The 24603-nt window shown below is 38.6% G+C and overlaps 1 protein-coding gene across 7 annotated transcripts in view, besides 1 other annotated feature; it reads left to right on the forward strand.

Annotated features, from left to right (window-relative positions):
• CHRNA7 (cholinergic receptor nicotinic alpha 7 subunit) overlaps positions 1-24603 on the forward strand; it is a 142536-nt gene that overhangs the window by 91969 nt on the left and 25964 nt on the right. The gene's annotated exons all lie outside the window — the stretch shown is intronic.
• Positions 9628-9828: a silencer, noted in NCBI's record as "peak2289 fragment used in MPRA reporter construct". NCBI's record gives its function as "represses an SCP1 promoter by STARR-seq MPRAs in K562 erythroleukemia cells {active_cell/tissue: K562}" and the evidence as "EXISTENCE:reporter gene assay evidence [ECO:0000049][PMID:32103011]".

Raw genomic sequence — 24603 nt, forward strand, 5'->3', positions numbered from 1 at the left:
CATCTTTTCACATTATTTGTGGTCTTTTTTTAATATAAATTTTACATCCTTAGCTAATCACATTTTTGTGTTGTTTCCTTTATGGATCCTTTATGGCTTTGGGGTCCCAGACCAGGAGACTATCCATTTATTCTACTAAATAGTTTGTTTTTTATTGTGTATGGTTTTTTTTCCCTAAAATGTTTGTGTATGCTATGAGGTAAGGGTCTAACTTTACTTTTCTTTAAGGGATAGAAAATAATTCTAACAGCACTTATTGAGCAATACATCTTTCTCCCCATGGCATTGAAGTGGGATGGTTATATTCATTTATGCATGTGCCAATACCATACTGAGAGCTAAGCAGGGTGAATAAAAAGAGACATATGTCTTGAATATCTTGCTGCGATTTTAAAACACTCATGATAAAGGCAAAACCCTTATAAGCTCTCAAAGCAAAAAAAAAAAAAAAATCACAATAGCAAGAAACAGTAGCCTAGTAGAGGACTACTTTCAAATATTGAAGGGCAATTATTTTTAAAATAAAATATTTTGTTGAACTGAACTTTCTGGGCAAAAATGAAAGCAGTTTTAAATATGTAAAGACTCAAGTCTGAAAGAATTACTCAGAATTGTATTCCAGCAAAATGAGAAGAAACCAAGAAAGAGGCAAACCTGGAATATAATCAGCACTCGTGAGTGATGGAATCACTAAAAGGCATAGTTCAGTCTAATTATTTGATGATGTTGTTAAATGGTTTTTGTTGGCAGGGGACTAAGAAGTAGAAGAAGTAACAGCAGACGTTTGGTGTCGGCCTTCTTTGGTTCATGCATGATAAAGATAAACCTCGTTAAATGCACAAAATGAAAAAAAGTACAAGTAAATATGTATGTTAAATATTTGAATAGCTATCAGAGTAACAGAAATAGTGTCATAACTTCCAGACCACTAGAGATAAAATAAGGGACCAAAACCTGAAGTCGATACCTCTAATGCAAGAACAGAAAACTGAGAAACAGTGTAAGTATGAGGTCTCTCATGGATCCCTGGCATGGGTATGAACATTATTTTAAACTGAAGACATTTGAGATTAAACAGATAGGGAAAGAAGCTTTTTCAGAGCTTACTTATCAGACTACAGCAAAAACTTCTGGGAGCGAGCCTGGCATAAATCTCCTTTCTAGGGGAGTCTTTACTGGCTGGAAAGAAGATGGAAAAGACCAGTTGCACCTGCATAAACAAAACTTTCCCACAGACCTTCTTATCTCCCATTTGCTCCCCTAGAAACCGATTTGTTCTTTTCATAGAAGCCCTTCCTCTCCCCTCTCTCTCCGCTGTGCAGTATATAATCTCACCTTTAGCTGTTTGAAGAGTTGCATTTTTCTTTGTGCCCCTGTGCCCATGTAGGCATAAAAGTCAGTTTTCTCTTGCTCATCTGTCTTTTGTCAGTTTAATTCCTAAGCTCCCCCCCGCCAAAAGAATCTATAAGGGTAGAGGAAGAGCATTTCTTCTCTAACATGAGAAAATCTGGCCAAAAAAAAAAAAAAAAAACAGCCTACAAAAAACCAGAAAACAAACCTACTAGCAGAAACGAGTTAAAACAATCACTAATCACAAAAATTCAAATGGATTTAAATCCCATAACAGTTCTCAAACCAAAACAGACTCCTAGATGGGTTTCAAAAAATCAAAATCCAACTATATTGTATATACAGAAGGTAGATTTTAATCAAATAATCCAAAAGGTTGAAATGAAAAGGATCGAAAAACCATGTCTGCCAAATGCCATAAGAAGAAACAGATTTAGCATTGTTCTTATTTCACAAATATAGATGAAAGACAAAATACGTAAAAAGGGACAAAATGAATATTTTATATTGATTAAAGGAAAATTTATTGAGAAAACAAAGTGCTCATGAATAATTATGTTGCAGTGTGACTGCAAAAAATACAGTCAATGCTGATGAAAGTCAAAGGAGAAATTAACAAAAACCAGGATCTCAAGAAAGGGTAAGTATGCTTACATGGAATGAAATAAAACAGTGGTTAAAACTAACCCAGAAGATATATAGAAAGATTTGTATCTAACAAATATTTCCCAAAAGTAGTAATATTCACAAAAAATAAACTAAGACTGGAAGAAAATTCATAAGCAGATAAATATTACTCAGAAGAAAACTGGCAAACAAAGCTGACTGTTGAAAAGTCAGGTGAATCCACCTCAAAGTCAGAGATAAGGCAAAGATGAGAAATGTTAGGGACTGAATGATTGTGTCCCCTCGAGAATTAGTATGTTGAAATCCTAACCCCCAAGGTGATGGAATTAGAAGGTGGGGCCTCTAGGAGGGGATTGGGTCATAAAGGTGGAGTTTCATGAATGGGATTAGTGTCCTTATAAGAAGAGACACAAGGGCTTTCTTCCTGTCTCTGCTTATTTGGCCATCTGAGGACACAAGGAGGAGATGTGTATCTGCAAACCAGGACAGTTGCCCTCCCCAGACATCAGATCCGTGGGTGCTTTGATCTTGGACTTACAGGCTCCAGAACTGTGGAAGATAAATGCCAGAACTGACTAAGACAACAGCTATCACTGCTTTCAACTGCCGGGTGGATGCCCTAGCCGGAGCCCTATGACAGCAAGTTAAAGAAAGATATCTAAATATTACGAGAAAGAAAAAACACTATCATTACTTCCAGTTGGTTAGTCACCTAAAGGCAGACGCAGCTGACAAACTTTGAACTAATAAAAGATTTAAGAAAGAAGACAATAGCTGAGCTAGGTGTGAGTGAAGAACAGTGAAGTGAAATGGAAAGAACAGACCTCATTTACACTCATGATGATAACCATAAAATACCAAAGAATCAACCTGGTGCCCATGCACCAAACCCTTCTGAGGAAAACGATAAAAATTCACCAAAGCACCTGAAAGAGTAAAAGAGTCAGGAAGCAGCATGTGGGGTCTGCCAGCTCTCCTTCCCCTGCAGCTGGGCCATGTGTTGGAAGCCTGGAGTAGCAGCAGGGTTACTGCCTGGGGTCCCAGAGTCAAGGACTTAGAACTGCTGTGCCCGGGCTGCCTAGTAGACTCTAGAGACGCTCCGCTGCAGTCTTCTGGGGTCAAGAGGGGACAATCGGAAAGAGCTTTAAAAACTCTCAGGCTGCTCAGGGAGTTCTTAGATAGTGCTTTGGGCTCCATGTGCAGGATCTAGATCCTGCTTGCCTGGTTTGCTCTTCTGATTCGATGTTCCAATATCTGCTCTGGCTAAGAAGCTGCCGAGTGATTGTTAACAATGGAAACTGCATCTTTACCTCCTCAGGGTCTGATACAGCAGGTGTGGAGTACAGCTCAGGAATCGGTCATACATGGTCCCCCTGGATCACTTGTGAAAGACTCTGTCCTGCTGGGCATGAATGCCAGCTTGCATTCCTTTAATTAGATGGAAACTAGGAGGTATTTGGTGGCTGGAAGTCATGAATTTCAGCCCATACACTTCCTTCAATTACATGCTTGTCTCCCTCCTGCTGTCCAGAGAAAACCAACTGAATGATGAATAGTGCTCTCACCATTGGTAGCTGATAGCAAAAAAAAAAAATGATCCAGAACTTCATTTTGACAAATGAATGCTTCTCCCTGATACCTAGTTTGTGCTTCTCATTTTCCCAGGGATGCATTAATGCTAGAGAACTTTAGTGAATCACTACAGAATTACTTATGCATTTTGTAGTTAATAGGCAAAATATGTTGTGCCTGTAACATAGCTCCTTTGATGTTCTTAGTAAGCAGAACGTAGTATGGATTCTACTTTATTGACTTCCAGATGGTGCCTCTAAAGGTTATGACTATGAGCTAGTTAAATGTTTTGTCCCTACCAGTGGGTTCATGGCTTCATAAAGACCTGTGGTAGGTAGCATCTGAGTTTGTAGTTTGCATTTATTTCTGACTTTTAAGTCTACATTGACACAATCTCTTTATCTTGGCTTTGTTGAACTCTGCCTCATTTATTATGAAAGCTGACTTCAGGTTGAGGGCAAGGCAAAGAAAGAAGCCTTCGTATTTCAAAAGAACAAGATGGGTAGCCACGACACAGTCAAATTGGTTAATTTCTGTTCCTCGCTCCCTAAACTGCTAAATTTCATTTTATATATCTTCCTTCAGTCCATCTACTTAATATATTTTATGTGGTTAGACGGACTGCATTTTTCACTCATCCTGTTTTCCATGGGTTTTTCTCATCATCATTTTAATAGTGACATAATTCATAGAGATGATACTTTCTAGTTCACCATTGTTGGATTTAGTATGTTTCTAACAGATTAATAATTATAGGTCATAAGAAATGGAAAAAAAATTATAGGGAGGTACATTTTCATATTCCTCCTAATATTCCCCAGCAGTAACACCTTAAATAACTCTAGTGTAATATCAAAGCCAAGAAATTAACATTGGTATATTCCACAAAGTTTATTCAGATTTCACCAGTTTTACATTCATGCATTTTTGTGTAGTATATATAATTCTAAGCAAATTCATCACATGTATTGATTCATGTAGCCACCAACAAATTAAGATAAAGAACTGTTCCACGACTGTAAAGATCTCTTGCACTATACCCTTATAGCCACATCCCGCTTGTCCCTAACTACTGGCAAACACTAATCCATCTCTGTCATTGTGGCATTTCAAGAATATTTTATGTGTAGACTAATATAGTTTGTAACCTTTTGAGGGTGGCTGAGTAGTGGTCTGTGGTATGGATGTGCCACAATTTGTGTAACTATTAATCCATTAACAGATATTTGAGATGTTTTCAGTTTTTCGCTATTGCAATCATAGCTTCTATAACATCCATGTCCATGTTTGTTTGTTTTTGAAGATGTTTCCATTCGTCTGGTATAAATTACATAAGCACGCAATTGTTAGGTTGTATAATAAGCAGATGCTTCATTTTATAAGAAACTGCCATACTCTTTTCCAGAGTGGCCGTTCCCACCTAAGTGATCAAGTAATTCCGCATCCTCCCCAGAATTTGGTGTTATCACTATTTTTTTTATTTTAGCCACGCTAGTAGGTGTGTAGTGATAACCCATTGTGTTTTTAATTTACATTCTCCTGGTGGCTAATGCTGTTGAACATCTTACTATGTGGTGGTTCGTCACCTGTATATCCTCTTCATTGAAATATATGTTCATGTCTGTTTGCCCGTTTTCTAGTTAGATTGTGTGGGGTTTTGTTTGTTTTATTTTTACTCTTGAGATTTAAGAGTTCTTTATGCTAGATATGCCTTTTGTCAGATATGTGTTTTGAAAATATAGTTTGTCTTTCTGTAGTTTATCTCTTCATCTTCTTTACAGGGTCTTTCACAGAGTAAACATGTTCTTTTTAAAAATTACAGTGAAGTTTTTTATCAAATTTTACTTTGATGGATTGTGTTTTTGATGTCAAGTCTTGGAACTCATAGCCTAGAGTGCTGAAGATTTCCTCCTATGTTTTGTTCTAAAAGTTTCACATTTTTAAGTCTTACATTTAAGTCTGTTCTTTAAGTTGATGTCAATTTTTGGTATGATATCTGAGATTTACATCAAAGTTTATCCTTTTGCCTGTGGATTTTCAGTTATTCCAGGTCCACTCATTGAGAAGACTATATTCCTCTTCTGAATTGCTTTGAAAAAATCAGTTGGGTATATTTGTGTGGGTCTACTATTGGGTTCTCAATTCTGTTTTATTAATCTAGATATCTCTTCCTCTATTATAGTCTTTTGCTTTCATCGTATAGTAACGCTTAACATTGAGTAGAGTGTTTCTTCCCATTTTATTGTTCCTTTTCAAAATTGTTTTAGCTATTTTAGTTTCTTTGTTTATATAAATTTCAGACTGACTTTGTGTATCCATATGTACAAAACTCTTGCTGGGTTTTTAATGGGAATTGTGTTAAGCCTACAGGTTCTCGTAGGGACAATTATGTTGAATCTTCCAATCCATGATCATGGTATGTCCCTCTTATTTCAATCTTCTATGATTTTTCCATCAGTATTTTGTAGTTTTCAACATGTGAGATTTATGCTTGTTTTGTTAAATTTATATTTGTTTCATTTTTGACCAGTTGTAAATGATACTGCATTTTCAGTAACCACATGTTTACTGTTAGTATAGCAATTATTTTATGTTGATCTTGTATTTCTGACCTTGCTGAACTTACTCATTAGGTTTAGCAGTTTTTTTTTTAATTGTTTTTGTTTTGAGATTCCTTTGGATTTTCCACATAGACCATCATGTCACCTGAAAATAGTAACTTTTTAAATTTCTTTCTGATTTCTAGGCCTCTTACTTCCTTTACTTTCCTGGCTAGGATTTCTAGTATTATGCTGAATTAGAATGTTAAAAGTGAACAACTTTATCTTGTTTCTGATCTTATGGCGAAAGCATCCAGTCTTTCACTATTAAGTATGATGCTAGCTGTAGGTTTTTTGTGGAATTGCTTTTATCAGGATGAGGAAGTTTCCCTCTATTCCAGTTTTCTGAGACTTTTTAATATGGATGAGTGTTGAGTGTTATTACTTGCTTTTTCTGCATCAATTGATATAATCAGGTGATTTTTCTTCCTTGGCATCTTAATATGGTAGATTACATTGATCAGTTTTCAATTATTGAACTAGCTTTACACTCATGGAACAAACTCTACTTGGTCATGTGTGTAATTCCTTATATATACTGCTAAGTTGTATTGCCAATATTTTATTAAGGGTGGTTTATGTATATTTATGAGAGAATGTGGTCTGTAGTTTTTGTTTTGCATTTTATAAATTTTTTCTACTGTCTTTGTCTAGTTTTGGTTATGAGGTTAATAAAAGCCTCTGTGTTTTATCCTTTTTTATTTACTGGGAGACAGTTATAGAATTGATATTAATTCTTCCTTAAATGTTTGTTAAAATTCCCCAGCGAAGCCATTCAGGATGTGGAGATACCTTTTTAAAAAACATTTAAAATTATGAACTCAATGTGTTTAATTGTTTTAGGGATCTTCAGCTTATTTATAGCCTATTGGTTGAGTTGTGGTAGTTTGTACTTTTCAAGGAATTGGTGCATTTCATTTAAGTTGCTAAATGTATGTGTTAATTTCTATGTAAAGAGTTGTTCATAGCTTTCCTCATCATTCTTTTGATGTCTACAATGTCTGTGTAGTGACACATAGAATACATTCGTGGTATTAGTTTGTCAATTTTATTGATATTTTCAAAGAAGATTTTCATTTCATTGATTTTTTTTTCTTTTTTTTCTCTTCTCCGTGTCAGTGATTTTATACTTTTATATTTATTATTTACTTCCTTCTACTTGTGGGGCTTGTCTTCTCTTTTCTAGTTTCTTACCGAGTGAGCATAGATATAGACTTGAATCTTTTTCTCTTTCTTAAAATAAGCAGTACTATAAATTTATTCTTAGCACTACCAGCATGTCATACATATTGATACATTGCATTTTTATTCAGTTCAGTGTATTTTTTTCCATTTCCTTGAGACTTTCTCTTTGACTCATGGATTATTTAGCAATTTGGCATTCAGTTTCCAAGTGTTTGGAGATTTTCTTGTCATCTTAATGCTATTCATGTCTAGTTTGATTCCATTGTGGGCAAATATCACACTTTGTGTGGTTTCACTTCTTTTAAATGTATTGAGGTTTTTCTTAGGCTCAGGATATGGTCTATCTTGGTATATGCTCCATGAGTACTTGTTGGTAGACAGTTTCCTAAATGCCAATTAAGTCCTGTTGTTTGATGGTGTAAGTTCTTTTATATCCTTGCTGATTTTCTGTCTAGTTGCCCTGTCATGAATTATTGAGAGAGGAGTGTTGAAACCTCCAAATATAGTTGTGAACTTGTCTATATCTTTTGAAAATTTCCATCAGTTCTGGGGTCATGTATTTTGAAGCTTTCTTGTTTGAGAAAGGATTTATGATTGCTGCATCTTCTTGGTAGACTGAGCTTTTATCATTATGTAAATTTATATCTATCTTTCATAATTTTCTTTTCTCTAAGATCTGCTTTATCTGATAATAATATAGTTACTCTTGTGTTTTTTGAGTAATGTTTGCAGGGTATGTGTGTCTGTGATATATATATATTATATATATATATTCTTCGTTTTTTCTTTCCTGCCTATGATGTACTTAACTTTTTTTTAGAATTTCTTTTTTAGAATTTTTAGAATCTTTTTTATTTATAGTGTTTTTGAGTATGTCTCTTTGTACACCTATTTCATGGTTGCTCTTGATATTACATTTTATGTATGTAACTTATTACGTTACTGACTACTGATATAAACATCTTACTGGTTCAAGTAAAGTAGATAAATTTTCTCTTCCTTCTTTTATTGTTTTTTTCTCTCTTTCAAGAACTTCCTTGAGCCATACTTCTTGGGTGATTCTGCTGGTCACTATTTCTCTTAGTTTTTTCTTCATCTGAAAATGTCTTGACATTTCTTCATTATTCCTGAAAGATATTTTAACTGGATTTAGAATTTTGAGTGTACAGTAAGTTATTTCAGCATTCGGAAACTGTCATACCACCTCCTGCTGGTCTCCGTGGTTACTGTTGAAAATTCTGCTGTCATTTAAATTTGTTGTTGTTGTTTAGTTTTGTTTTTCCCCCTTACGGATCATTTTTCTCTGGCTGCTTTCAAGATTTTCTCTTTGTGTTTAATTTTTAGATGTTTGATTATGATGATTCTTGGCATTAATTTTTTTGTATTTATCTGGTTTGGGTTTTACTCAGCTTCTTGAATCTGTAGATGTATATCTTTTGCTAAATTTGGAAAATTTTTAATAATTTCTTCAAACATTTTTCATTCTCATTTTCTTTCTCTTCTTTTTCTGAGACTCTCATGACACAAATATCAGATTTTGTTATGGCTTCACACCCCTGCAGGCTGTGTCGATTTTTTTTCTTTTTTTTGGTCTATTTTACCTTTGTTGCTCCGATTGCATAATTTCTATTCTGTCTTCAAGTCAGATTCTTTCCTTTGCTATCTCCACTCTACTATTGAGCCCAGCCTACATGTTGGTAATCCCAGTTACTGTATTTTTCAGTTCTAAATTTTCATTTAGTTTTTCTTTATATCTTCTATTTATTTGTTGAGACTTTCTATTTTTTCACTGGTTTCAAACATGTTCTTAATTGCCTACCAAAGCATTATTATGATTGAGGTTTTAAAATCCAGAGAATTCCAACTTTCTGAATTATCTGTTTTGGCATCTGCTAATTTTCTCTTCTCATTAAAGTTGAGGTTTTTTTCTTGATTTTGGTATTACAGGTGATTTTTAAAATTATATCCTGGACATTTTGGGTATTATTGTTTGAGACTCCAAGTCTTATTTCAGTGTTCCTTTTCACTAGACCTCCTCTGACACTGTGCTAGCAGAGGAGGGAGGACACCACCCCTGCTGTCGTGTGGTTCAGGCCCCCCACTCAGCCTCTGTTGACACCTGGGAGGGATGGGGACCTTGGTACTGCTAGGTGGGAGTGGAAGTCCAGGCTCCCCAAGTGTTCTCCACTGAAACAGCAGGAGGCGGCTGGGTCAAGATGAGGTCACTGCTTGGCCTTCTCTGACATCACCTCTTGCAAGTATGGGGAGGAGTGTCTCCCTTTTGCCTGGGGATGTTTGAATCTAGAGTGCTCCCTGGGCCTTTGCTGATGAGGCTGCTGGTGGAGTCCAGCTTTTTCCTTTGGTGTTTCCCTGGGGCAGCGCTCTTGGCTAGACACGGTCCAGCTGTCAGGCTGCTTCTCTCCTGACCATTTGGCGAGAGAGGGCAAGCTTTCCTCAGGACTTCTTTGGTCTGTACCTGTTGGGGTTTTTTTGGTGCATTCTTCTCCAGAACCCAGTTTGGAATAGGTAAGATAAATAGTAAACCTAGGGATGTCAGCACCATGCCGTTCTGCCTGTCACAAAGGTGTGATCCCTTCTGCCTTCTTCTCTGAACTGTTGACAGCCTTCTTATGTTTATTTATGGATTATGTGAAGACTTCTTAGTCATATTTAGCAAGAGTAATAATGATTACTCAGGTCAGCCTGTCATAACAAAATACCATAGACTGGGAGGCTTTAAATAATAGAAATTTATTTTCACACAATTCTGGGAGCTGAGAAGTTCAAGATCAAGGGTCTGGATTTGGTTCCCTGAAGAGAACTCTCTCTGGTTTATGGCTTCCTTCTCATTGTGTCCTTACATGGCAGAGAGAAAGAGAGAGGGAGTGGGAGAGGGAGAGAGAGGGGCACGTGCTGGCTTCCCTCTTCCTATAAGGCCACCAGTCCTATCAGAATAGGGCTCTACCCCTGTGACCTGATTTAACCCTGGTCAGCTCTTGCTTATCGTTTTTAGCCGTATTACCTCCTTATCGTTTTTCTTGTATTTATGCTGTCATAGCAAGTGGCATTTTTCTGAAAGCATATGCTTAGTTTATTTAGACTTTATATTTATTCAGATTAAGGTTGGTCAATTTCTTCACTCAATCTGAAGGAAAAGCTCTTTAAAAAATCAGCCTGATCATTTTTCAATGAACCTCTGGTGTGGACTTTGGGCATCCGATTGTGTAGGAGGCTCTCAAGGCTGGCTGTTTGCCCAGTCAGCATTGTCACTGGGGGACGAGCTGGCAGGGTGCAATGTTGTTCCCTTCACCTTTGTGTCTCCAAGTGACCCTTTCCTCATAGGGATGAATTTCCACCCATGATGAATAGTCCTTGTGTGCATAGTAATCCCAGTGTCAGAACATCTTCTCCTTCCACTGCTGGGGATAATTAGCTTCCTTTTTCTTTTGTTTCATACATCTGGAGCCAGAAAAGGCATAACAGGTCACATAGTTTAGAAATGGACATACTTTTTAAAAAATTTCATGAGCTCCTTCACGTCCATTTATCTAGGCTACGTAAAACTGTTAGAAGGAATGCCCAGGCTACAAGCTATAAGCAGGCAGGAGGGTGGGGCCCGTGGAGCCCAGCTCTCTCCCACACGAGGCCCTGGGAGTTCAGTCAACCATCCTGGGTCGCAAAAGTCATTACCCAAGAAGGCGGGAGTAAAACTCGTGCTTCTGCCCTCTTGCCCTGTACGAGGTGGGTTGGAACTGAGAAGGCCAGGACCTTCAAAATGCTGCATTCTCCCTGAGAAGTTGGAATTGAAAAAAATAAAATCTACCATCCAGTGCAAGACGATGAAAAAGAAGCATGACTGTTTTAGGCTGTGCTCAGTCAGGGCTCAGAGTCTTCCATGGGAATTCACAACAGATGAGGGAAGGGGTGCCTCCTGGTGCTGGTTTGATATGTCCAGCAGAACCCAGGAAATTCCAGCACCAATTGTAGTGGCATGCAAAGTGGTCTGATCTGTGAGGCTCTGGGCACCTGGCAGAATGGAGTGCAGGGCACCTGGAGAGAAGTCCCCCTCCGGCCAGGTCCACAGGATCTCCATAGACACGGTAGCAACACAGGTTGGGGATTCATTCCAGTATGTCCAGTCAGCAAGGTTCATGTGCCATGAACATGCTCTGCAGATGGTGATTGGGGTTTGAGACATGGGTTTTCTGCAGCCTGACAAATATTCCATGCTCTGATAAGTGTCCAGGTGTGAGGCCAGGTGTGCAGGCAATGCTGTGAGAGGGCAGCCAAGGGCTCTGCCCCTTTCTCTCCTGCGTCCTCCTCCCTCCACATCCATCCTGTCCCACCCCTGTGACTACATGTGGGTTTTTTTGTGTGTTTTTTTTTTTTCTGAGACTGAGTCTGGCTCTGTCTCCCAGGCTAGAGTACAGTGGCGGGATCTCGGCTCACTGCAACCTTCACTTCCCAAGTTCAAACAATTCTTGTGCCTTAACCTCCTGAGTAGCTGGGATTACAGGTGCCCACCACCATTCCCGGCTAATTTTTGTGTTTTTAGTAGAGATGGGGTTTCACCATGTTAGCCAGGCTGGTCTTGAACTCCTGACCTCAGGTGATCCGCCCTCCTCGGCCTCCCAAACTCCTGGGATTCAGGCGTGAGCCACCACACCTGGCCTGCATCTATATTTTTAAGCTCTTGTGCCATTTAGCCTTCATTAATTTTTTTAAGAAAACATTACAGATGAAAACTGTATGAGGAATGAAACACTATAAGAAATAATATGGAAACTCAATTTTTAAAAATCAGCTAAAAATGAACTTCAAATTAAAACACATACAGAAACATCTCACTTTGAGCAAGCATTCACAAACATAGCAAAAGGCAGGTTTGGACTCTTAAACACTTAAGACAATAGAAACTGACAAATGATTTGAAAATAATTACACTCAAGTAAGAATTAAAAACACAAATGAGAGAAACCCTTTAAAAAGCAACTTTGAAAAGAATCAAGTAAAATTAAGAGAGATGAGAAATAATATAGCCATCAAAATTAAAGACAGTGGAGGCATAGAATGTCAGATGAGACACAGTTGAAGGAGCAGAGGCAGTTTCCTGCGTGAATCATAGAAAGCTAAATAGATGGAAAGTAGGAAAGAATGATTTACGGTCGTGCAATAATATCCAACACTTCTGTAGTGCTTCTGTGCACCAGGTCCTGTTTCAAATGCTTTACATATATTAACAACCTTCTGAGGAAAGCGCTGTGATTATTTTCAGATATGACAGCTGGAGCACACTGTGGCCAAGGTCATGCAGAAAGCAGGTCTGGAAGCCTGCACCCCCCAGGAGAGGCTGTGCCTGACAAGGAGGGCTGCTTCCTCTCATGCCGGGGATAGGTGCTCCCATACACACTGGCTAGAATAGTAGAAGGCAATAATAAATTGCATGTGGGAGAAATATTAAAAGATTATTTTCAGAAAACAGGTAAAGTTATGGCTCACATACAGATATAAAAATGAGCATGTTGAAGAATCTATTTGACTCATATCACATGAGGAAACAAAGCAGATGTTCTCAGTTCAATGGGAAAGTCAAACTAGTACAAATTTATATAGAGTAAAGGAATTTCGAGATGAATTCTAAATGGACACAGAACTTGTTTATCTAAAGGGGCAGGAAGTCAAGGCACTACCAATTAAATCACTACTGGGCGACTGAGAACTTCCGCATCTATCAGCTGCTTACGGTCCGCGCACAGTGGCAAAGCAGCTCAGACAGTGAACAGGGCGAGACTTGCTAAGTGAGATCTATGTGCTGTAGGGGACACATCGTTTTCCATTGAAATACAATGATTTTTTTCAACAGAAGCCATGTCCCAAAAGAACAGCTGAGGATGTAATAATATTGATGAAAAACATACATCCTCAGCTTCAGGAGATAAAAGTCTGAGGAAAGATATGTGATAGGAAATGAGCCCAAGACATATTGTGCAAAAAAGCTGCAGGAATGTCCAAAGCCAAAAAAAGATCCTAGAAGCGATGAGAGAAAAATAGATAGCTTGCTAACAAAGAGATGGCAATTAGACTGACTGCAGACCTTTTAAAGGCAACAGTAGAAGCCAGAAAAATAAACGAAAATAACGTCTTTTAAGTATGAAAGGAAATAATTGTCAACCTAGAGTTTTATCCTGAGCTAAACCATTCTTTACCTGATGGGCAAAATCAAGACATTCTCGGGAAAACATATACTAAAGGAGTTTACCGTGCAGGGGCTGTGCTACTATTTTAAAAAACTACCAGAAGACGTTTAGGAACTAGGCATGAGAAGCAGTGAGCGAAGCAATTGGCAAAGATTCAGGTACATGTAAACAGATTTGGTTATATAAAATAATAATGATGAATTTGAGAGTATTAAAAACAAAGTGGGACAGGGCGCAGGGGCTCATGCCTGTAGTCCCAGCACTTTGGGAGGCCAAGGCAAGTAGATCACCTGAGGTCAGGAGTTCGAGACCAGCCTGGCCAACATGGTGAAACCCCATCTCTACTAAAAATACAAAAATTAGCCGGGCGTGGTGGCATGTGCCTGTAGTCCCAGCTACTTGGGAGGGTGAGGCAGGAGGATCGCTTGAACCCAGGAGGCAGAGGTTGCAGTGAGCTGAGATAGCACCACTGCACTCCAACCTGGAACCTGAGTGACAGAGCAAGACTCCATCTCAAAAAAAAAAAAAAAAAGATGGAATTAAAATACTGGAAAATATAGCATGAAATAGTAACTTGGACAGTGCTTGGAGGTAAAACCCTCAGGTGTACTTATATGACTCTGGAAGGCCATGGAGACGTCAGCTTTAAGTGAAATATACAAGGTTAAAGTGTGAGAATAACCACCAGACCAGACACATTAAGAATACTATATTTAACTTCCAAACAAGTAGGGGTCGAATGGGGAAGGGATGAAGAAAACAGGAGAAGGCCGGCGCGGTGGCTGACGCCTGTAATCCCGGCACTGTGGGAGGCCGGGGCGGGCGGATCACGAGGTCAGGAGATCGAGACCATCCCGGCTAACACGGTGAAACCCCGTCTCTACTAAAAATACAAAAAAATTAGCCGGGCGTGGTGGCGGGCGCCTGTAGTCCCAGCTACTTGGGAGGCTGAGGCAGGAGAATGGCGTGAACCCGGGAGGCGGAGCTTGCAGTGAGCCGAGATCCCGCCACTGCACTCCAGCCTGGGCGACAGAGCGAGACTCCGTCTCAAAAAAAAAAAAAAAGAAAAAAAAAAGAAAACAGGAGAAACCTAAATGCAATCCAAGGAGGAAGAAGTCAAAAGCATAACATTAGATGGTAGAAATGAAAACAAATATTACAGTAGACAAGATAAAAGTAAATGGGATGGCCAGCTGGTTAAAACACAGATCTCCCCAATATATCTCTATGCATTTAAATCGAACGATAGACTGTTTAGATGAAACTAAACCATATATACGTAAAGGATGAACGCAAAAAAGGAAAAACAAAAACAGGAACAAAAATAAAATGTGAGTGGCTATGTTTACAACACCCCCCCCCCACACAAACACAGTAAGAAAAACAAGTATAATTAAGGTTAAATAAGGTCAGGTGATAGTGATTTTTTAAAACTAAGGATATATAACAAATCTTACATGTATATATCTAATAAAATTGCTTTGAAGAAAAATTGGTAGAATTTAAAGTTTACTGGATAAGTCCACAATTACAGTAGAAGATTTTAATGTACCTCTTTTAGTAATTGATAGTGTAACAAGGGGAAAAAAAATGTAAGTATGTAGGAGTTTTGAACAACACAGTTAACAAGTCTTACCCAATATATAGATATAGATACAGATATAGAAAAAATGCATCCTCATTCCACTAGAAAATAAATATATGGAAAACTGGATATCTAAATGTGAATAAAAACATTTAGCATGTGTGGTGTGAGTTTGTGTGTGTACGTGTGTGTGCACACATGCACTCACATATGTATAGGAATGCAGGCAGACATACATAGCCTTTAAATGCTTATGTTAGAAAAGATACTTGTCTAAGCATCTTTACCATATGATCCAACAATTGTCCTCCTCAGTATTTACCCAAAGGAGCTGAAAACCTGTGTTCACACAGAAACCTACACACATATGTTGATAGCAGCATAGACATCTTTTTTAGGAAACCCTAAAGGCTTTTAATATCTTTTTTGGGAAAATGTGTGAGATAATTACCAAACTCAAGAAGTTATAAAATATAACATTAACTCCAATGAAAAAAAGAAGGAGGAATAAAGATAAACCTAGAAATGTATTAAATAAGAAAACTAAAATAGAGATCAACGAAGGACAAATTGGTTTTAAAAAAGAACTAATAAAATCAACATACCTCAGGAAATAATTACCAAGAAAACAAAGAAGGCACAAACAAACATTTACTGGATATAAAAGGGGTTTTCAACTACAGAAAAATACTTAAAAATAGAATATTGTGACACAATTTTATGCCAAAATTTTGGAAACTTAGATAGATTTAATATTTTCTAGAAAAATAGACCAAAAAGGGAATAGACTAGCAAAAAAACAGACTTTGTTTTTTAAAGCAGTTTGAGGTTCATAGCATAACTGTGTGGAAGGTACAAGTTCCCATGTCCCCTCCCAACCCCCACCCAAGCACAGCCTCCCCCATCATCAACATCCCCCACCAGGGCCGTACAATTGAAATAGATGAACTGATGCAGACACATCATTACCACCCAGAGTCCATAGTTTACATCAGGGTTCTCTCTTGGTGGCGTATGGGTTCTGTGGGTTTGCACAGATGTATAATGACCTGTATCGACCATTATAGTATCATTCAGAATAGCTTCACTGCCCTAAAAATCCTCGGTGCTCCACCTATTCATCCCGCCCTCTCTCTGCAATCCATGGCAGCCATTGACCTGTTATGTTTTGTTTTGTTTTGTTTTGTTTTGTTTTGTTTTGTTTGAGATGGTGTATCGCTCTGTCGCCCAGGCTGGAGTGCAGTGGTGCGATCTCGGCTCACTGCAACCTCCACGTCCCGGGTTCAAGCGATTCTCCCACCTCAGCCTCCTGAGTGGCTGGGACTACAGGTGCACGCCACCACGCCTGGCTAATTTTTGTATTTTTAGTAGAGACAGGGTTTCGTCATGTTGGCCAAGCTGGTCTCAAACTCCTGACCTCGGGTGATCCACCTGCCTTAGCCTCCCAAAGTGCTGGGATTACAGGCGTGAGCCACTGCGCCCGGCCTGATCTGTTTTGCTGTCTCCATTGCTTTACTTTTCCTAGAATATCATATAATTGGAATCTTACAGTCTGTAATCTTTTCAGATTGACTTATTTCATTTGGTAATATGCATTTAAGGTTCCTCCATGTTTTTTTCATGGCTTGATAGCCCATTTCTTTTTAGCACTGAATAATAATCCATTGTTTGGATATAGCACAGTTAGTTTATCCATTTCACCTACTGAAGGTTGCTTCCAAGTTTTAGCAATTATGAATAAAGCTGCTATCAACATATGTATGTAGGTTTCTGTGTGAACACACGTTTTCTGCTCCTTTGGATAAATACAAGGGAAGGCAATTGTTGGATCACATGGAAAGAGTATGCTTCGTTTTGTAGGAAACTGCCAAACTGCCTTCCAAAGTGACTGCACCATTTCTCATGCCCACCAGCAGTGTATGAGAGTTCCTGTTGCTCTGCATCCTTGCCAGCATTTGGTGTTGTCAGTGTTCTGGATTTTGGTCATTCTAATAGATGCGTAGTGGTGTCTCAGTTTTTTTTTTTTTAATTTGTATTAAATATGACAATGTGGAACATATTTCTATGTGCTTCTTTGCCATCTCTATATTGTCTTTGCTCAGGTGTCTGTTAAGGTCTTTGGCCCATTATTTTAATTGGATTGTTTGTTTTCTTATTGCTGAGTTTTAAGAGTTCTTTGTATATTTTGGATTACAGTTCATTATTAGATGTGTCTTTTGCAAATATTTTCTCCCAATCTGGAGGTCATCTTTTCATTCTTTTGATCAGTATATTTTTAAAAAAGAAATTCAAAAAGGTAGGTTTACAGGCAAGTTCCACCCAGCATAAAATATCATTATGAACATAAATGTATAAGCCTTTTTTATTATTATACTTTAAGTTATAGGGTACCTGTGCACAATGTGCAGGTTTGTTACATTAGGTGTACATGTGCCATGTTGGCTTGCTGCATCCATTAACTGGTCATTTACATTAGATATTTCTCCTAATGCTATCCCACCCCCAGCCCCCCACCCCCCGAGAGGCCCCGGTGTGTGATGTTCCCTGCCCTGTGTCCATGTGTTCTCATTGTTCAGTTCCCGTCTATGAATGAGAACATGTGGTGTTTGGTTTTCTGTCCTTGTGATAGTTTGCTGAGAATGATGGTTTCCAGCTTCATCCATGTGCCTGCAAAGGACATGAACTCATCCTTTTTTATGGCTGCATAGTACTCATGGTGTATGTGTGCCACATTTTCTTAATCCAATCTGTCATTGATGGACATTTGGGTTGGTTCCAAGTCTTTGCTATTGTGAATAGTGCCGCAATAAATATACGTGTGCATATGTCTTTATAGTAGCATGATGTATAATCCTTTGGGTATATACCCAGTAATGGGATTGCTGGGTCAAATGGTATTTCTAGTTCTAGATCCTTGAGAAATCTTCCACTGTCTTCCACAATGGTTGAACTAGTTTACACTCCCACCAGCAGTGTAAAAGCATTCCTATTTCTCCACATCCTCTCTAGCATCTGTTGTTTCCTGACTTTTTAATGATTGCCATTCTAACTGGTGTGAGAGAGATGGTATCTCATTGTGGTTTGGATTTGCATTTCTCTGATGGCCAGTGATGATGAGCATTTTTTCATGTGTCTGTTGTCTGCATAAATGTCTTCTTTTGAGAAGTGTCTCTTCATATCCTTTGCCCACTTTTTGATGGGGTTGTTTTTTTCTTGTAAATTTGTTTAAGTTATTTGTAGATTCTGGATATTAGCCCTTTGTCAGATGGGTAGATTGCAAAAATTTTCTCCCATTCTCTAGGTTGCCTGTTCACTCTGATGATGGTTTCTTTTGCTGTGCAGAAGCTCTTTAGTTTAATTAAATCCTATTTGTATATTTTGGCTTTTGTTGCCATTGCTTTTGGTGTTTTAGTCATGAAGTCTTTGCCCATGCCTATGTCCTGAATGGTATTGCCTAGGTTTTCTTCTAGGGTTTTTATGGTTTTATGTCTTAGGTTTAAGTCTTTAATCCATCTTGAGTTAATTTTTGTATAAGGTGTAAGGAAGGGATCCAGTTTCAGCTTTATACATATGGCTAGCCAGTTTTCCCAGTACTATTTATTAAACAGGAAATCCTTTCCCCATTTCTTGTTTTTGTCAGGTTTGTCAAAGATCAGATGGTTGTAGATGTGTGGTGTTATTTCTGAGGCCTCTGTTCTCTTCCATTGGTCTATATCTCTGTTTTGGTACCAGTACCATGCTGTTTTGGTTACTGTAGCCTTGTAGTGTAGTTTGAAGTCAGGTAATGTGATGCCTCCAGCTTTGTTGTTTTTGCTTAGGATTGTCTTGGCTATGTGGGCTCTTTTTTGTTTCCATATGAACTTTAAAGTAGTTTTTTCCAATTCTGTGAAGAAAGTCATTGGTAGCTTGATGGGGATGGCATTGAATCTGTAAATTACCTTGAGCAGTATGGCCATTTTCACGATATTGATTCTTCCTATCCATGAGCATGGAATGCTCTTCCATTTGTTTGTGTCCTCTTTTATTTCATTGAGCAGTGGTTTGTAGTTCTCCTTGAAGAGGTCCTTCACATCCCTTGTAAATTGGATTCCTAGGTATTTTATTCTCTTTGTAGCAATTGTGAATGGGAGTTCATTCATGATTTGGTTCTCTGTTTGTCTGTTATTGGTGTATAGGAATGCTTGTGATTTTTGCACATTGATTTTGTATCCTGAGACTTTGCTGAAGTTGCTTAATCAGCTTGAGATTTTTGGCTGAGACAATGGGGTTTTCTAAATATACAATCATGTCGTCTGCAAACAGGGACAATTTGACTTCCTCTTTTCCTATTTGAATACCCTTTATTTCTTTCTCTTGCCTGATTGCCTTGGCCAGAACTTCCAACACTATGTTGAATAGGAGTGGTGAAGAGGGCATCCTTGTCTTGTGCCAGTTTTCAAAGGGAATGATTCCAGTTTTGGACTATTCAGTATGATATTGGCTGGGGGTTTGCCATAAATAGCTCTTATTATTTTGAGATACGTTCCATCAATACCTAGTTTATTGAGAGTTTTTAGCATGAAGGGCTGTTGAATTTTGTCGAAGGCCTTTTCTGCATCTATTGAGATAATCATGTGGTTTTTGTCATTGGTTCTGTTTATGTGATGGATTACATGTATTGATTTGCATATATTGAACCAGCCTTGCATCCCAGGGATGAAGCCAACTTGATCATGATGGATAAGCTTTTTGATGTGCTGTTGGATTCTGTTTGCCAGTATTTTATTGAGGATTTTTGCATCAATGCTCCTCAGGGATATTGGTCTAAAATTCTCTTTTTTGGTTGTGTCTCTGCCCAGCTTTGGTATCAGGATGATGCTGGCCTAATAAAATGAGTTAGGGAGGATTCCCTCTTTTTCTATTGATTGGAATAGTTTCCGAAGAAATGGTACCGGCTCCTCTGTACCTCTGGCAGAATTCGGCTGTGAATTTGTCTGGTCCTGGACTTTTTTGGGTTGGTAGGCTATTAATTATTGCCTCAATTTCAGAACCTGTTGTTAGTCTATTCAGAGATTCAACTTCTTCCTAGTTTAGTCTTGGGAGGGTGCATGAGTCCAGGAATTTATCCATTTCTTCTAGATTTTCTAGTTTATTTGTATAGAGGTGTTTATAGTATTCTCTGACAGTATTTTGTATTTCTGTGAGATCGGTGGTGATATCCCCTTTATCATTTTTTATTGCGTCTATTTGATTTTTCTCTGTTTTCTTCTTTATTAGTCTTGCTAGCGGTCTGTCTATTTTGTTGATCTTTTCAAAAAACCCGTTCCTGGATTCATTGATTTTTTGAAGGTTTTTTTGTGTCTCTATCTCCTTCAGTTCTGCTCTGATCTTAATTATTTCTTTCCTTCAGCTAGCTTTTGAATTTATTTGCTTTTGCTTCTCTAGTTCTTTTCATTGCGATGTTAGGATGTCAATTTTAGATCTTTCTTGCTTTCTCTTGTGGGCATTTAGTGCTATAAATTTCCCTCTACACACTACTTTGAATGTGTCCCAGAGATTCTGGTACGTTGTGTGTCTTTGTTCTCATTGGTTTCAAAGAATATCTTTATTTCTGCCTTCATTTCGTTATTTACCCAGTAGTCATTCAGGAGCCCGTTGTTCAGTTTCCATGTAGTTGTGCAGTTTTGAGTGAGTTTCTTAATCTTGAGTTCTAATTTGATTGCACTGTGGTCTGAGAGACAGTTTCTTGTGATTTCTGTTCTTTTACATTTGCCGAGGAGTGTTTTACTTCCAATTATTTGGTCAATTTTAGAATAAGTGCAATGTGGTGCTGAGAAGAATGCATATCCTGTTGATTTGGGGTGGAGAGTTCTGTAGATATCTATTAGGTTCACTTGGGGCAGAGCTAAGTTCAAATCCTGGGTATTCTTGTTAACCTTCTGTCTCGTTGATCTAATATTGACAGTGGGCTGTTAAAGTCTCCCATTATTATTTTGTGGGAGTCTAAGTCTCTTTGTAGGTCTCTAAGGACTTGCTTTATGAATCTTGGTGCTCCTGTATTAGGTGCATATATATTTAGGATAGTTAGCTCTTCTTGTTGAATTAATCCCTTTACCATTATATAATGGCCTTCTTTGTCTCTTTTTATCTTTGTTGGTTGAAAGTCTGTTTTATCAGAGACTAGGATTGCAACCCCTGCTTTTTTTTTGCATTCCATTTGCTTGGTAGATCTTCCTCCATCCCTTCATTTTGAGCCTATGTGTGTCTCTGCATGTGAGATGGGTCTCCTGAATACAGCACACTGATGGGTCTTGACTCTTTATCCAATATTCTAGTCTGTGTCTTTTAATTGGGGCATTTAGCCCATTTGCATTTAAGGTTAATATTGTTATGTGTGAACTTGATCCTGTCATTATGATGCTAGCTGATTATTTTGCCTGTTAATTGATGTGGTTTCTTCATAGCATCGATGGTCTTTACCATTTGGCGTGTTTTTGCAGAGGCTGGTACCAGTTGTTCCTTTCCATGTTAAGTGCTTCCTTCAGGAGCTCTTGTAAGGCAGGCCTGGTGGTGACAAAATCTCTCAGCATTTGCTTGTCTGTAAAGGATTTTATTTCTCCTTCACTTATGAAGCTTGGTTTGGCTGGATATGAAATTCTGGGTTGAAAATTCTTTAAGAATGTTGAATATTGGCCCCCACTCTCTTCTGGCTTGTAGGGTTTCTGCCGAGAGATCCACTGTTAGTCTGATGGGCTTCCCTTTGTGGGTAACCCGACTTTTCCCTCTGGCTGCTGTTAACATTTTTTCCCTTCATTTCAACCTTGGTGAATCTGAAAATTATGTGTCTTGGGGTTGCTCTTTTTGAAGAGTAGCTTTGTGGTGTTCTCTGTATTTCCTGAATTTGAATGTTGGCCTGCCTTGCTAGGTTGGGGAAGTTCTCCTGGATAATATCCTGAAGGGTGTTTTCCAACTTGGTTCCATTCTGCTCATCACTTTCAGGTACACCAATCAAACATAGATTTGGTCTTGTCACATAGTCCCATATTTCTTGGAGGCTTTGTTTGTTTCGTTTTACTGTTTTTTCTCTAATCTTGTCTTCTCACTTCATTTCATTAATTTGATCTTCAAACACTGATATCCTTTCTTCCACTTGATCGAATCGGCTATTGAAGCTTGTGCATGTGTCATGAAGTTCTCATGCTGTGGTTTTCAGCTCCATCAGGTCATTTCAGGTCTTCTCTATACTATTCATTCTAGTTAGCCATTCATCTAACCTTTTTTCAAGGTTCTTAGCTTCCTTGCAATGGGTTCGAACATGCTCCTTTAGCTTGGAGAAGTTTCTTATTGCCGACCTTCTGAAACCTACTTCTGTCAACTCGTCAAAGTCATTCTCCATCCAGTTTTGTTCCATTGCTGGCAAGGAGCTGCGATCCTTTGGAGAAGAAGGGGTGCTCTGGTTTTTGGAATTTTCAGTTTTTCTGCTCTTCTCCTCATCTTTGTGGTTTTATCTACCTTTGGTCTTTGATGTTGGTGACCTACAGATGGGGTTTTGGTGTGGATGTCCCTTTTGTTGATGTTGATGCTATTCCTTTCTGTTTGTTAGTTTTCCTTTTAACAGTAAGGCCCCTCAGCTGCAGGTCTGTTGGAGTTTGCTGGAGGTCCACTCCAGACCCTGTTTGCCTGAGTATCACCAGCAGAGGCTGCAGAACAGCAAACATTGCTGCCTGATCCTTCTTCTTGAAGCTTTGTCCCAGAGGAGCACCCACCTGTATGAGGTGTCTGTTGGCCCCTACTGGGAGATGTCTCCCAGTCAGGCTACACGGGGGTCAGGGACCCACTTGAGGAGGCAGTCTATCCATTCTCAGAGCTTGAACGCCGTGCTGGGAGAACCAGTGCTCTCTTCAGAGGTGTCAGACAGAGATGTTTAAGTCTGCAGAAGTTGTCTGCTGCCTTTTGTTCAGCTATGCCCTGCCCACAGAAGTGGAGTCTATAGAGGCAGTAGGCCTTGCTGAGCTGTGGTGGGCTCCACTCAGTTCGAGCTTCCTGGCCGCTTTGTTTACCTACTCAAGCCTCAGCAGTGGCGGACACCCCTCCCCACCACCAGGCTGTAGCCTCACAGATCGATCACAGACTGCTGTGCTAGCAGTGAGCAAGGCTCCGTGGGTGTGGGTCCCACTGGGCCAGGCACAGGAGGGAATCTCCTGGTCTGCTGATCGCTAAGACCGTTGAAAAGTGCAGTATTTGGGCGGGAGTGTACTGTTTTTCCAGGTACAGTCTGTCACAGCTTCCCTTGGCTAGGAAAGGGAAATCCCCCAACCCCTTGCACTTCCTGGGTGAGGCGACGCCCCACCCTGCTTTGGCTTGCCCTCCGTGGGTTGCACCCACTGTCCAACCAGTCCCAATGAGATGAACCAGGTACCTCAGTTGGAGAAATCACCCATCTTCTGCGTTGATCTCGTTTGGAGCTGCAGACCAGAGCTGTTCTTATTCGGCCATCTTGGAAGCAACTCCTATGTATAAGTCTTAACTAAAATATCAGCATAACAAAGTCTAGCAATAAGTTAAAAATAAATCCTAACAAGTTTAGGCTTCTATTAGGAATGCACAGTTTGTTTAACTTTCAAAAAAGTCCATTAATATAATTCATTCTATTAAAAGATTGAGGCAGAAAAAAATAAATGATCATTCTGGTAGCTGGAGAAAAATCAGTTGATGTTATTTAAAACCCATTTGTAATTGGAAGAAGTTTCACCTAACCTGACATAGGGGTCTCACTTAATGCTGAAACATTAGAAGTTTCTAAACGTAGAATAAAATAAGAATATCAGTGTCATCACTTTTTAAAAATATCTTAGTGACTATATGAATTTCAGTAGTAATACAAGTAAAATAATAAAATGTTTATGAATAAGGAATAAACCTGTTATCATCTTTATAGGCCATATCTGTTTTTTACATAGAAAATCCCTAGAGACTGTCTAGAAAAAATATATCTGATACAAAACAAGATCTATCGAAGTATCAAATGTGTTTCTATATTCTTACAACAGACAGTTAGAAAATGTAATTTCACAAATTTTATTTTCAATATCTGCAGGTGTTGAGTACCAAAAAATAAATTTAAGAAAGAACAACATAAATGTTGAGTTGTATCACGTTTATGCCTGGGAAAACTCAATACCAGATGCCAAATTTTTCCAAAATAAATTGAGTGTGATTAATGTGATTCCAACTAAATTTAATGTGATTCCAACTAAAGTCTTAACAGGGACTTCATGAGACTGTACAAGTAAATTTAAAATTTACAATGATGAGCAAAGGATCAGTAATGAGCAAGAATAGTAAAACAAGACAATTTTAAAGAAAAAGAACCAAGTTGGGGGACTTTCTGTGCCAAATGCAACACTTTCATAATGCTGTAAGGATTAAGATGATGTTTTGCTGGGTCAGGGATAGACATGTAACACAAGGAACAAAAATAGGGAGTCCAGAAACTGGATATCTGCTG

This window comes from Homo sapiens, chromosome 15, assembly GCF_000001405.40.
Source record: "Homo sapiens chromosome 15, GRCh38.p14 Primary Assembly".
In the NCBI taxonomy this organism is placed as follows: Eukaryota; Metazoa; Chordata; class Mammalia; order Primates; family Hominidae; genus Homo; species Homo sapiens.